Source organism: Homo sapiens, chromosome 1 (assembly GCF_000001405.40).
Source record: "Homo sapiens chromosome 1, GRCh38.p14 Primary Assembly".
NCBI classification, from domain to species: domain Eukaryota; kingdom Metazoa; phylum Chordata; class Mammalia; order Primates; family Hominidae; genus Homo; species Homo sapiens.
In genome coordinates, this window is record NC_000001.11 from 60,275,660 (window position 1) to 60,289,504 (window position 13,845).

At 38.5% G+C, this 13,845-nt stretch overlaps 2 long non-coding RNA genes across 2 annotated transcripts in view; one reads left to right on the forward strand and one right to left on the reverse strand.

Moving 5' to 3' along the window:
• Nucleotides 1-1,436, reverse strand: part of LOC105378761 (uncharacterized) — a 94,372-nt gene extending 92,936 nt beyond the window's left edge. The window contains exon 1 of the long non-coding RNA XR_947431.2: nucleotides 1,056-1,436. This is a non-coding gene — a long non-coding RNA (uncharacterized LOC105378761). The remainder of the gene's footprint in view (nucleotides 1-1,055) is intronic.
• A 3,367-nt stretch (nucleotides 1,437-4,803) lies between these two features.
• On the forward strand, nucleotides 4,804-13,595 carry LOC107985379 (uncharacterized). The gene is made up of 4 exons (XR_001738093.1): nucleotides 4,804-4,959; nucleotides 6,161-6,326; nucleotides 11,477-11,576; nucleotides 13,203-13,595. It is a non-coding gene; the product is annotated as an uncharacterized LOC107985379 (long non-coding RNA).
• Nucleotides 13,596-13,845: the final 250 nt, after the last annotated feature.

The window sequence follows — 13,845 nt, forward strand, 5'->3', positions numbered from 1 at the left end:
GTGAGCAAGAAATAATAATGCAGATTTAAGTGCCTAGCTCAAGGATGGACCTCTAGCAGATATTAACAACCGATGGATTATATTTAAATCAATAGAGATATATTATTACATTTTCTTCAAAATCCCAGATAACTTTCTTGACAATTGTCATAACCTTGTAAAAGGCTTAAGATGATTTCTATTTATTCAATTATGCATTTACCAACTGTTTTAGGGTGCCTACAGTTTGCCAGGTGCTGTGTTAGGCTCTACAGAGGTAGAAATTAAAGGAATGTTTTCAGTTTGCTTATGATCAAGTAGGGAAGAGACAAGAAAATAGATAATTACAAACATCATCATGAAACATTGTAGGGTAGATGAAATGTCCCATAAATGACTCCTAACTGTAAAATAAAAATAATCCTATATCTAACCAGATTGGTCCATGGAGTTCTTTCGCAACTCGTTAACTTTCTACTTCTCAACAAATCACTTTGCTCTGATATGTGGCTCTGATTCTTATAAATTGAAGATATTTGTAGTATTGAAATGCACACTGGACTTGGGAACAAAATAACTAAATTTCAGATCTGGGTTTGTCATTTAGCCATTGCCTGATTGGGCAAGTCAAGATACATATATGAATGTTAGTTCTCCCCTCTGTGTATGTGTTTATCCCTGTGTGTATACGAATTAAACAACAGAATTTTTCATTTTTATGTAACATTGCAAAATAATCAAATGGTTTAGCAATTGTAAAAAGAGCAAGAAAAATCTAGATTTTTCCACACATAGCAACTAAACTAAATGATCACTGAAAGTCACAAGTTGAATATATGCAGCATTATTTAATGCCAAATGAGGGCCTGCCTCTGCCTCCTGCATCCAGTGAGGTTTCAGGAAGGGAGGGCTAATACGAGGTATGTATATTGACACCCCTACAGTTTGCATAGCTCTCTGACCATACATCCCTCCCCTACTGAGTTCAAATAAAGTTTCAAAATCATTTTCTCAATGTTTTTGCTCTAGGTAGTCACTACCAATCTATCAGAGTTGGCTCTCAAGTTGAAACTTACTTGTCATTCCAGATTCATAATCAGACTGTGACAAAGAGTCTCTCTGGCATGGCTTCTGATGTCTTTTTTAAATTAATTAATGCTTGGAATGTTGAAGTCAGCTAGAGGAAATATCAAGAACAGGAAGATTTCACACATTCATTCCAAAAACTTTCAGAAATTCATATAATTAAATGCATACGATGACCAAAGCACTTGGTGTCTACGAGTTTCCTTGTAGCTACTGAGCTGCATCTACAAGCTTCCTCAGTTCTCTGTGAGTTTTCATGACAACTCCTGCTATCTATAGCTATCTGCATCTGTCTTTCTAATATATAGGGGGGAAAGTCACTCTTAATAGCTTAGTCTTTGAGACTACATTTTGTATATCGTAAATTTTGTATATTGACTTTATGTTACATATGTTTAGGCTCGTTAACATTTATTTTTAGGCATTTCATATTGTTGATGTTATTGTAATTGTATCATTTTTATTTTAATTTTCATTATTTGTGGCTAGTGCATTAGTCAGTTTGGGCTATCATAATAAGATACCATACACTACGTGGCTTAAATAATGGAAATTTATTTACTCACAGTTCTGGAAGGTAGAAGTCCAAAATCAAGGTGCTAGCAGGATTAGTGTCTGGTGAGGCTTTTTTTTTTCCTGGCTTAAAGATGGCCACCTTCTCACTGTGTCCTCATGTGGCCTTTCCTCAGTGTACTCATGAGGGGGAGGGGAAGAGATATCCCTCCGGTATCTCTTCCTCTTCTTATAAGGACACCTGTTCTATTGGAGTAAGGCCAATTATGACCTCACTTAAACTTTATTACCCCAAGCACCCCTTTCTCCAAATACAGCCACATTGAAGGCCAGGGTTTCAACATATGAGTTTTAAGGGGACGGAATTCAATCCATAACAGCTGGTATACAAAAATAAAATTACTTCTTATATGCAGTAGTTCTCCTTTCCTCATAGGTTTGCTTTCCTCAGTTTCAGTTAGCTGTGGTCAACCTTGGTCTGAAAATAGGTGCATATAGTAACAATAGGATAGTTAGAGAGAGAGAGGGTCACATTCACATGACTTTTATTACAGTATATTACAATATATTGGCATAATTGTTCTATTTTATTATTAATTATTGCTGTTAATCTTTTACTCTGCACAATTCACTAAATTTCATCGTATGTATGTTTAGGAAAATATATTAGGCAGGGCACGGTGGCTCAAGCCTGTGATCCCAGCACTTTAGGAGGCCGAGATAGGTGGATCACCTGAGGTCAGGAGTTCGAGACCAGCCTGGCCAACATGACGAAACCACGTCTCTACTAAAAATACAAAAATTAGCCTGGCATGGTGGCAGGTGCCTGTAATCCCAGCTACTCAGGAGGCTGAGGCTGGAGAATCACTTGAATCCAGGAGGAGGAGTTTGGAATAAGCCAAGATCACACCACTGCACTCCAGCCTAGGAGACAGAGCGAAACTCCGTCTCAAAAAAAAAAAAAAAAAGGAAAAATATGTTGTATATTTAGGGTTTGGTACTATTCATGATTGTAGGCATCCACTTGGGGTTTTGAAACTTATCCCCTGCAAATAGGAGGAAACTATTGTTTCTGACTTGATATGAAGCCTTGCTAAACACGCATATTAGTTTTAGTAGCATTTTTGTAGATTACTTAGAATTTTTTACTTAGACCACTTTTTGATGGGGTTGTTTGTTTTTTTCTTGTAAATTTGTTTGAGTTCATTGTAGATTCTGGATATTAGCCCTTTGTCAGATGAGTAGGTTGCGAAAATTTTCTCCCATGTTGTAGGTTGCCTGTTCACTCTGATGGTAGTTTCTTTTGCTGTGCAGAAGCTCTTGAGTTTAATTAGATCCCATTTGTCAATTTTGGCTTTTGTTGCCATTGCTTTTGGTGTTTTGGACATGAAGTCCTTGCCCACGCAGACACTTCTCAAAAGAAGACATTTATGCAGCCAAAAAACACATGAAGAAATGCTCATCATCACTGGCCATCAGAGAAATGCAAATCAAAACCACTATGAGATATCATCTCACACCAGTTAGAATGGCAATCATTAAAAAGTCAGGAAACAACAGGTGCTGGAGAGGATGTGGAGAAATAGGAACACTTTTACACTGTTGGTGGGACTGTAAACTAGTTCAACCATTGTGGAAGTCAGTGTGGCGATTCCTCAGGGATCTAGAACTAGAAATACCATTTGACCCAGCCATCCCATTACTGGGTATATACCCAAAGGACTATAAATCATGCTGCTATAAAGACACATGCACACGTATGTTTATTGCGGCACTATTCATAATAGCAAAGACTTGGAACCAACCCAAATGTCCAACAATGATAGACTGGATTAAGAAAATGTGGCACATATACACCATGGAATACTATGCAGCCATAAAAAACGATGAGTTCATGTCCTTTGTAGGGACATGGATGAAATTGGAAACCATCATTCTCAGTAAACTATCGCAAGAACAAAAAACCAAACACCGCATATTCTCACTCATAGGTGGGAATTGAACAATGAGATCACATGGACACAGGAAGGGGAATATCACACTCTGGGGACTGTGGTGGGGTCGGGGGAGGGGGGAGGGATAGCATTGGGAGATATACCTAATGCTAGATGACACGTTAGTGGGTGCAGCGCACCAGCGTGGCACATGTATACATATGTAACTAACCTGCACAATGTGCACATGTACCCTAAAACTTAGAGTATAATAAAAAAAAAAAATTTTAAAAAAAAAAAAAAGAATTTTTTACTTAGACAACCAGGCTGTCTGCAAATAGAGTTTTGCTTCTTTCTCTTCAATCTGAATGGGTTTCATTTCTTGTCCGACCTTCTTGCATTGGCTAATACCTTCATAGGACATTGAAGTGGTGAGATTGGACAGCCTTACACTTGAGCTTAAGAAAAAAGGCTTCAGTTTTTCCCCACCAATTGTGATGTTAGCAGAAGGTTTTTCAAGATGCCCTTAATCAGGTTGAAGTTGAGGAAAATCCCATTGATTATTAGTATGCCAGGAATTGTTAATAAGCTCCTTGAAGACACTTTGTCTCTTTCTCTTCATAATAATTGCACCAAGCAATCTCTTGCACATAGTAGGCATTCAATAAATAATTATGAATTATATTGAGAGGAAATTGATGAAATTTCATCAATTCTTTTGAAGAATCTAAAAGGGAAATATATTTTTGAAAAAACAAAGTCTGGACACATGACTCAACACATAGTCATTTTTTGCCTCATGATGAAAAGAATGCTTTATTTCTGTAATTTTTATTTGGTGCAGAGCTAGATATACAAGATTTGTGTGTGTATGTGTGTGTGTGTGAGAGAGAGAGAGAGATTGTCTTGTAAATGTAATTGCACTAAATGAATTGCATAAAGACTATTGCATTCTAGAAATGCAAAATAATATCAACAGACTGAATGAAACAATGGTATCAAAGACCACAATATATAACTTACCTATTTATAATCCAGTCCATCATATAATAATAACCTACATATAACCATCCGTATTTAATCTGGTCCTTTTAGAATTTTGAAATGCTCTCTAGAATTGCCTTTTTTTCTACTTCAATGAGAAATATGTGTGATTTGTTCAGCTGCTGTCTCTCTGCCATCCCCACCCCCAGCACTGTGCAACACAGCCCCTTCTCTCAGCTGGCAAGCACAGGCCCCAGATGCCAAGCTGTGGAAGATATTTATCTGCTGCATCTGGTTCCTTAGCAGATTCGACAGGCCTCTGTGCTGGCAGCTTCAGAAATGCCTTTGGGCTTGTCACATGTTGAAAACTCCCAACTGGCTGTCTGAATTGGCAACCATGCTTTGGCTCACTGGAGAGAAGAGAGAAATGGTGCTTTTTGTCCATCTACTGATAACCTCTCATGTAAGTGATCGTTGGCTTCTGATCTGAAAAAGTACGTTCCCAAAGGGCAGTGCAGACTTTGGGGCTTAATTTCATCCTCCTGATACAAACTCACAAGTAGTATATGACTGAGTTTTGTTTCCTTGGCCAGAGAGGAAATCCCTAGCAATTTGGACCTCAGCATGTCTATCCTGAAATTAAATTCAGAAAGCGTCAGCATTTTAGAATTGGCATTTTAAAATTAAGAGTCAGCTAATCCATCCCCTTTATTTATCTGATGAAGAAACTCAGGCTCTGAAAGGCGAAGGGATTTGGCCAGGGTACACAGCAAGCAGGACAAAGGACGAGATTCACCCTGGGTGAATACTGGGAGTGGGGAAATACGAAAGCAAAAAGGAGCAGGTATTTCTGTTTGGAGAAGCTGTGGAGAAGGAACCCTTTGGAGACTGCATGGCAGGCTGTAGCAGAGCAGCGAGCCTGCAGACAGGGACACTTATGCCCTAAGGCTGATGCTGCCACATCCAAGCTAAGTGACCTTATGTAAGTGACCTAACCTCTAGGCCTGAGTTCCAACACCTGAAAACAAGAAGGAGTTAACCATAGTTCCTAATTTATTTGATTGTTGTGAGGATGAAATTAGATCACGCATAATGTACCTTACAAGGCTATGCTCATTTTTTTCAGTAAATGTTTATTGAGAGCTTACCATGTGGTAGACATTATTCAAAAGACTTGATAAATAATGATTCTCAATCATTTGGGACATGAAATCAGTAAATGAGGGCAGACCTGTAAAACCAGGACAAGAGAGTGAATTTCCGGAGTGGTTTCCTGTCGAGAGGCACGCAGACAGCGAGTGTGTTCTTACACATACACACAATGCATCTACGGCCGCAGCATTTGTTCTAATTCCCTGAGCTGCAGTGAGCTCTGGATTCCAGCAGGGGACATCCATAGCCCAGACAAGGGAAACTGGGGCCAGCTCAGCCTTAGAGGTGATGAATGAAAATGATAAATCACTCAGACATGAGCCTGAGACTGGCCTGTTCTGATACTCATTCCATAAAGACGAAAGTTCTGGAAGGGATGACCCTCACAGGCTTCGTTAGCTCTGAGTTTGTAGAATGTCAATGAATTTCAAGTTCTCTTAATCCTGAATTTGCAAGCTGAGGTCCCGTGGAGTTTTGTCCATGTTAAAGGGACATAATTCCTTTCTCCCCAGGGCAGATCAAAGGAACCAGGTTTTGATGACTTACAGCTCACACAAGGTCATCCTGGGAAAACAGATCCTGAGAAGTACTGCAGAGCTTGTGAAGTACTGCACTGGCTGGTGTCTGGATTCTAGAGTTTATGATCTGCTCCAAAGCCAGAGAGGTGATGACTAGAAGGTAGATATGAATTGGGGACAGTGGTGTGCTGATAAATATTTAACAACCAGCTCCCTGGGGGAAAAATATGTGCATATGTACATGTACATAAGTTTATTATACATTTCACTCATATACAGGACAAGTAGCACACAATTTACATGTTATATATATAAAATATACAATAATCTTTATTATAAATTCCATATAGCTAATTGATTCTCATAGAATACATTAGTTAATTTCTGTTGAACTCTTGTATTCATGGCCAAGCTATTATTGCAATCCAACCATTATTTGACAATATCAGCCTGCAAATAAACGTTTAAATACTGTCTGGTTCAGCAAAAATGTCTCTTACTTCACTGATCAACAAGTGTGATTGTGAAATGAATGGTGCTTGATATTTTCATTTATGTTAACTGGGAGCAAAAAAGTGAATGGACAAAGGCATATATTAAAACTTCACTTGTTTGTTAATGGTATTAGCCGAATCTTTGTTAAATTCACTAATAGTGTTAAATCCACTAATACTGAAAAATATTTCCTGTTATTTATGTTGTTTATGACTCAATAGTCACAGACAGAATACAGCATTATTAACCTATCAAGTCTAGCGAAATCATCAAAACAATACATCAAGCCCTGACTTACAGCATTTGCCAATTTTCATGGTATAAATATTTCCACCATGGTTGATTTCAAAATCAAGGTAATGTCATTGAACACGAAATTGAAAAGAGATTCATAGTAGTATATCATTACATAACGTTTCTACCATATGCTTAAAATAGACATAACCTCAAAAACTTAATAAAATATAGTAAATTAATTATGAAGTTATGGATTTTAAAATGTTTTCATTGTTACATATTTGTATATACTTATGGGGTACATGTGTAGAAAGTGATGGATTTTATTTACTTTCTTATTCACAAAACCTAGAGAATAATCAATCTTATTTTAAAAATATCTACCTTACATAGTGTTTAAAACACAGTAACATTTGTTGCATAATAATTATAATTATAAAGGAGGGGAAAAAAACAAGAGCCAGGTGAGCATCTAAAAAACAACTTTATCTAAAATGTTAAAAAAATTATGGAGAAATTATCATATACAAGTCACTGTCCTAAAACCTTTATATGAATTAAATTATATAATCATCACATTGATTATAAGGGGCATATATTATTTCCCCCAGATGAGAGTCTCTATCTAACAGATTAGAATATAAGTCTCAGCGGAGTAAAGTGACTTGCTCAAGTACATCCAGCTAGCAAACAGTAAGGCCAGGATAAGAAAACAATCTGACTTTAAGGATTGTGCAACAAACAAGATATCAGCAGTTAACAAAATGTTGGTCTGGAAAAATAAAATAAAATAGCAATTGGTCTGGGAGGAAGCCTGAACTTGAAAGTGACATCTACCCTTGGTTCTGCTGTATGAATTTGAACAAATCATATCACTTATCTGAACTTGCTACATAAATAAAGCTGGATTTTTGTGAGTCTATGAAATGTACCCTATTCCATTTTAAAGCTGTGATGCTAGGGGCAGAATGGATTGCTAAAGAAGATGGTGTGATCTGGCTGCTAGTAACATCACAAATAACAACAGCTCATATGATGGAATGATATTTGGAATTAACCACTGTGTCCAATTCTTATTTACCATATCTCCCTTGGTAGGGTAAATAAGAATTACCATTCTTCCTGTATTCCTCATCCCAAAGCAAGTTTTTAGATCAGAAGCAGAGTACCATATGAGAAATTTTTTGTTGTTCAATTTAAAGATCTATGGTCAAGGTGTTAGGAGCAAGAGATCTGTTCCTTCCCTTGACTATCTGAAGGTTCCACAGTAAAGCTGATAATCAGGCAGGCATAGAGTCTACAAAGGGAGAATGCTGACTCATTGGGAGCAAATGTCCTGCAGCTGCTGGTGCCAGGGAGCAGCACAAGGCCATGGAAGGCCTTTCTGGGATAGCAGATTTTCTGTTTGAGAAAGCACGGTACATCGCTTGGAAAATTAGGTGATCCTTCTCACTGTAGCCTGATAAGGATGACCTGCTGACTATATCTAGATCATTGCCCATTGCCCAGCAACATGTCAGTTCCCTGTCTCTCCGTCCCATGGAGAGTTTTCCACCCATTTTCAATGGTCCAGAGCACTGTTAAGCCTCTGGAATCTGTTGTGGGGCCCTGGACATAGAAGGATGAGTCAACTTGCTAGGGCAAAGGAGAACTGGACCAGAGAAACTGAAGCTCTATTAGGAGCTCAGACACCAGTGGGACACATCTCCCACCCTCCTCTTATCTAGCACTCTGTGCACTCATATTATACACATCCCTTGAGATGTATTTGATCCCATTGGGACTCTGGACATACCTCTATCACAGCACTTTTTACTTTGTGTGCTTTCTTCCCATAGAATGTGGGCTACTTCAGAGAACTATTTGTGTCTTACTTCATGTTGTATCTGTAGAACTCAGTATAGCAACTAGAATAAAGAAGGTGCTGAAAGAAAATAACAAAACTGTAGAATGAATGAATAAACTCTAAGGGGAAGGAAGTATTAATAGGATACTCGGTTAACAGATGAGGAAATTGAAGCACAAAGAAGATGTGAATTGCCCCACAGTGGCTAATTTGAGTCAAAGAATGTCCAGAATCTCAAATATATGATTCCCTTTCCAATACTCATTTTTTTGACACACTGTTAACTCAGTGAGTTGAGGTCAGTTAAATCATTCTAATTTATACTCTTATTTTTACTTCACAAGTTTCTCAATTCTGAAGTATGGCAGAATTTGACAAGTTTTTTTTTTAATGATAAGGCTGAAACCATAATTTTTAGGCAAGAATTCTGGAAACCAGAGGGAGAAAGCTATTCAACAAAGATGAATAAAAAGATTTAAATAGTTGTTTTTTGCTTTGTTTTGTTTTGTTTTGTTTTGCCAAGAATGTGCGTAGGTGGCTTGAGGATGGGCACTGGTGAGTGTGGGCAGGCAGGGCTTGTGCACATGCACATGTGTGTGTGGTGTGTGTGTACCTTGGGTTATTAGAAAAAGAAAGTATGGGGTACGGCGGTTGGTACTTCTATTCTTCCAGGCCCGTGAAAAATCTTTTGATCAAGATAAAGTGCTCCAGTTATTAGTCCTTGAAGCTCAACAAATAGGCCTCTCCATTCTAATTTTAAATCACAACATGTCTGTTGTGAATCTAGGCTCATGTTCCTGTATCTGCAGATGCACTTGAGAATTCATTTACCATGTCTTCATGTTTCTAAAAAGGTCTACATTTAAACTCTTCTGGACAGAGGAGAAAAACTATTATGTTAAAGTACTTCCAAGGATGAGTCCATGGGAAAAAAATGGTGTCTACAAATTTCTTGTGGCTCAATATCTATAACTATGCCAGGCAATTCTCTTTTATTTGTTAAAATGCTGGCTGAAGGCCTGTATAGCAGAAAGTGGCATGGAAGACAGATTGGGGTTTCTCTGGTGTTTGAAGACAATGCTGCACATCCCAGGTCAGTCATTTAGTTGGCTGTGTTATGACCTTGACCAGGATGTTTCCATTCTTTGAGCCAAAAAATTCATACTTGGATGAAAAAAATAGTAATAATATCTAACATTTATTGGGTGCTTTCTTGACCTAAACATTATGCTAGCCTTTCTACATCTTATTTAATCCCCATCCCAAGCCTACGAAGTCGTTAAAATCCTCACCATTTTATATATGAAGAAACTGAAGAGTTTGACTCACTTACCCAAAGTCACATAGTAAGTTACAAGCCCAGGCCTTGCTCCAAGGTCTCTCTGGCTGCAGGATTCTAGTATTTATTCTTACCACATTTCAATACTAGTCTAGAATGTCAGACTGCAGACTCTAAGCAACATGTTTAAGTGTGTTGAAGAAAGTGTCCACAGGCATTAAAACAGGAAAACTGTAATTGGCTATCTGTGTGTTTTTAAAAATTAGATAAATTATTTGAGTGTTAATTCCTTATGTGCGTAACATTTAATGATATCTATCTCATAAAGCTGAAGGATTAAATGAGAAAATAGGTAAATGCCTAATTTATAATATTTCATAATATATAATTCCTGTGCATATTCTAAGTTCCAAATATTGCATTTTGGTGTATTTATTTTGGTCACCCTGTCACTAGAACTAGAGAATAAAAGTTGTCCAGGAACTAAGGCCACTGCTTCCAACCTCTTCTCTCCAGCCTTGTCACCTGTCTGGTACAAACATGAGTTCTCTGTGATTTACTTCCAGAGCCTTTACATATTCAATTTTCTTACCTGTGCATGCAGTTGCATACTTTCACTAAGGAGGAAGTGCTGTGGAAGAAATGCATTTTGATTGTAAAAACATAAGCCCCAAGACGATGGGCTGGAAAGTAGAGTTATGAGGAAGAAACAAAATTGTCCTTGTTAATAAACTAAGAAAAATGTTGTGGTTTTCCAGGTTACGTAAAAAAGAAAGAAAGAAAAAAGAAAGAGGGAGAGAGAAAGAAAGAGATAAGAAAGAAAGCAAGAAAGCAAGAAAGAAAAGAAAGAAAGGAAAGAGAAAAACATGGAAGGGTTAAGTAAGTGCATGTGAAAAAAATATTCTGTAGAGATAGAGAAAGTCAAAATTTTTGAGCTAGAGGCTTAAGAGTGAAATATAGTCAATGAGAAATCCTCATTGTTGGGAAGGGCTGAATGGCTTTAAAAATTGAGATATTTTATTTCAATTTAAGATGATGGCACAGACCAAACATTTCTTTTACTGCTTATCCCACTTAGATTAAAACACCTAAGTTTGAAAAGGAACAAAGTCATTACAGGAGAGCAAAATGAAATAAGATATTTCAACAAATTTCTGAGTCAAAAAAATTAAGAGAAGTTTGGTGAATATTGCAAATGGAAATGCTGCTGCTTGCAATATAGTACTCTGGGAATACAAATGAAGTAGTATCTAGACTGGCCAGGTGATCGCCAAGCATATTTCTACTTCCTGGCATGTTGGAATATTTTGTTTCTCTCGTTTTTGGTGAGATTGGCTGAGTTCTGGCCAAGAGAGTGTGGGCAGAAGTGAGGTTTGCCACTTTCCAGCCTGGCCCTGAAGCACCCTGAGCAATCCTTCATGGGTTCTCTTTTTTGCCCACTTTCTAAGTGCAGAAAATCCTGGAGATCCTGGATGTGGAGGAGCCACATGATGGAAGGAATGTGGATCCAATCACTCTTGGAGAAGAGCCACTGACTGGAATTGGACTGTGAGGTGAACAGCTATCGATGTTTACTTTGTTTAGCCACTGGGATTTTATAAACAGCTAGTGATATGATTTGGCTCTGTGTCCCCATCCAAACGTCATCTCAAGTTGTAATCCTCATGTGTCAAGGGAGGGAAGTGATTAGATTATAGGGGTGTTTTCCCCATGCTGTTCTCATAATACTGAGTAAATTCTCACGAGATCTGATGGTTTTATAAATAGTAGTTTTTCCTGCACTAACCCACACTCTCTCTTGCCTGCCACCATGTAAGACATGCCTGCTTCCTCTTCCGCCATGATTATAAGTTTCCTTAGGCCTCCCAGCCATGCAGAACTGTGAGTCAATTAAACCTCTTTCCTTTATAAATTACCTACTCTTGGGTAATATCTTTATAGCAGTGTGAGAATGACTAATATAGCTAGCATGGATACTCTAACATAAAGTGGGAGCCATTCTGTCTATCAGCAGCCCCGAAGGTCTGGATCATAAGTTAGAAGAGGATGGGAGAGGTGTGGCTGACAATATGGGTATTGTTAAGGTCTTTAAATGGCAGCAGGGAGGAGGAATATGCAGTAAGACAAACTGCTCCTTGTCCTCCTCCTCCTACTCCTACTCCTTCTGTCTCTGAAAAGAGCATAGACAACTGCATTTCTCACTTTCAAAATGCTAGACAGTACTTCTCTAAAGAAACAGAGTAGAATGTTAGGAGAAAGCTTTATGCATTGACATCTCAGTACAATGCTGTCCTCATTGAGGTGTTTGCTGTGGTTGGAAGGTAGAGGGGGTTCTGCAGGCCAAAGCCAGGTTCCACATCATCTGAGAGAGAAGCTGGCCATCTGGTAGCCCTGCACTGCCTCTCAGAATGTCAGTCCAAAAATTCTGCTCAGCTGAGACACCTAGTCAAGCAGATATAGTTGTAAAATAGCAGAGGAAATGCATATGTGTTCCCTAGGCCTTCCAGTTTAAACCTCAGTGGACAATGAGATACCAAAAAGTAAGAAGAACCAGAAAAATGAAAAGGCCAGTCAGAATGAGTAATATGCTAATTAACATATTCGAGTACATTTAAGAAGATTATACTTATTTGTCACTGATTTAACAAATATGTAATGAATACCTACTATGTGCTAGGTTCTTCTAGATGGTGAGAATACATTGGTGAAGATACCTGTTTTAGTTTAATTTTCAATAGATTAAGTATCAAAAAAAAAGAAGCACATACAAAATCATGATAATTTCCTGTAGAGGTAAATTTTCTGGAAAAAAATAAAACAAGATGACACAGTTTCGCTGAAAGGGGGCTACAGAGAATAAGGTGATCAGGGAAACTGTTTCTGATTAGGTAGCTGTTGAGATGAGAGTTTAATGATGAGGAGGAGCCAGCCATGCAAAGATCATGGAACACTATATTTTGGAAGCGGTCAAAGATTGCAGAGTTCATAGAGCAAGAAGGAGCTTTTATGCTCGTGTAGCTGAAGGAAACAATCGCTCCAGCTAGAGCATGGTAACGGAGTATAAGTTGGAAGAAGGGTATCATTTTCAGGCATTCCTCAAAGACCCCAACAGAGTGTGCATCTAGTCATATTAGAGCATACTAAATAAAATTAACAATTGGTCCCTTATTTATTTTCAGAAAATCTTGGATCAAGAGTGGGAAGAGTCCTCAAGAAAATATCTAGTTTAACTACCCAACTCACAGATTAAGAAACAGAGGCCCAGGAGGAGGTGTGGAATTGCCTGTGGTTGTCCAGCCTGTTAGGAGGCAGAACTTAAGGGCTTTGTATACAGTCTAGTGGGCCTCACAGGTCACATACATCCTCCTCTATCTGGCTGCTCCAAACTGTATGAATGCAAACAGCATGAGAATATCTTGTGGTAGTAATTAAGTCACTAACAGAAATTCTCCAGCTTGGGTACCTAAACCTGGCTAACCATTATTTGAACTAGATAAAAACCAGATACACAAATCCCACTCTAGGAGATGCTGATTTGGAAGCTTAGGCGTTGAGCCCAGAAATCTCTACTTTAAAAAGAGCTCGGCCGGGCGCGGTGGCTCACGCCTGTAATCTCAGCACTTTGGGAGGCCGAGGCGGGTGGATCATGAGGTCAGGAGATCGAGACCATCCTGGCTAACAAGGTGAAACCCCGTCTCTACTAAAAATACAAAAAAAAATTAGCCGGGCGCGGTGGCGGGCGCCTGTAGTCCCAGCTACTCGGGAGGCTGAGGCAGGAGAATGGCGTGAACCCGGGAAGCGGAGCTTGCAGTGAGCCGAGAT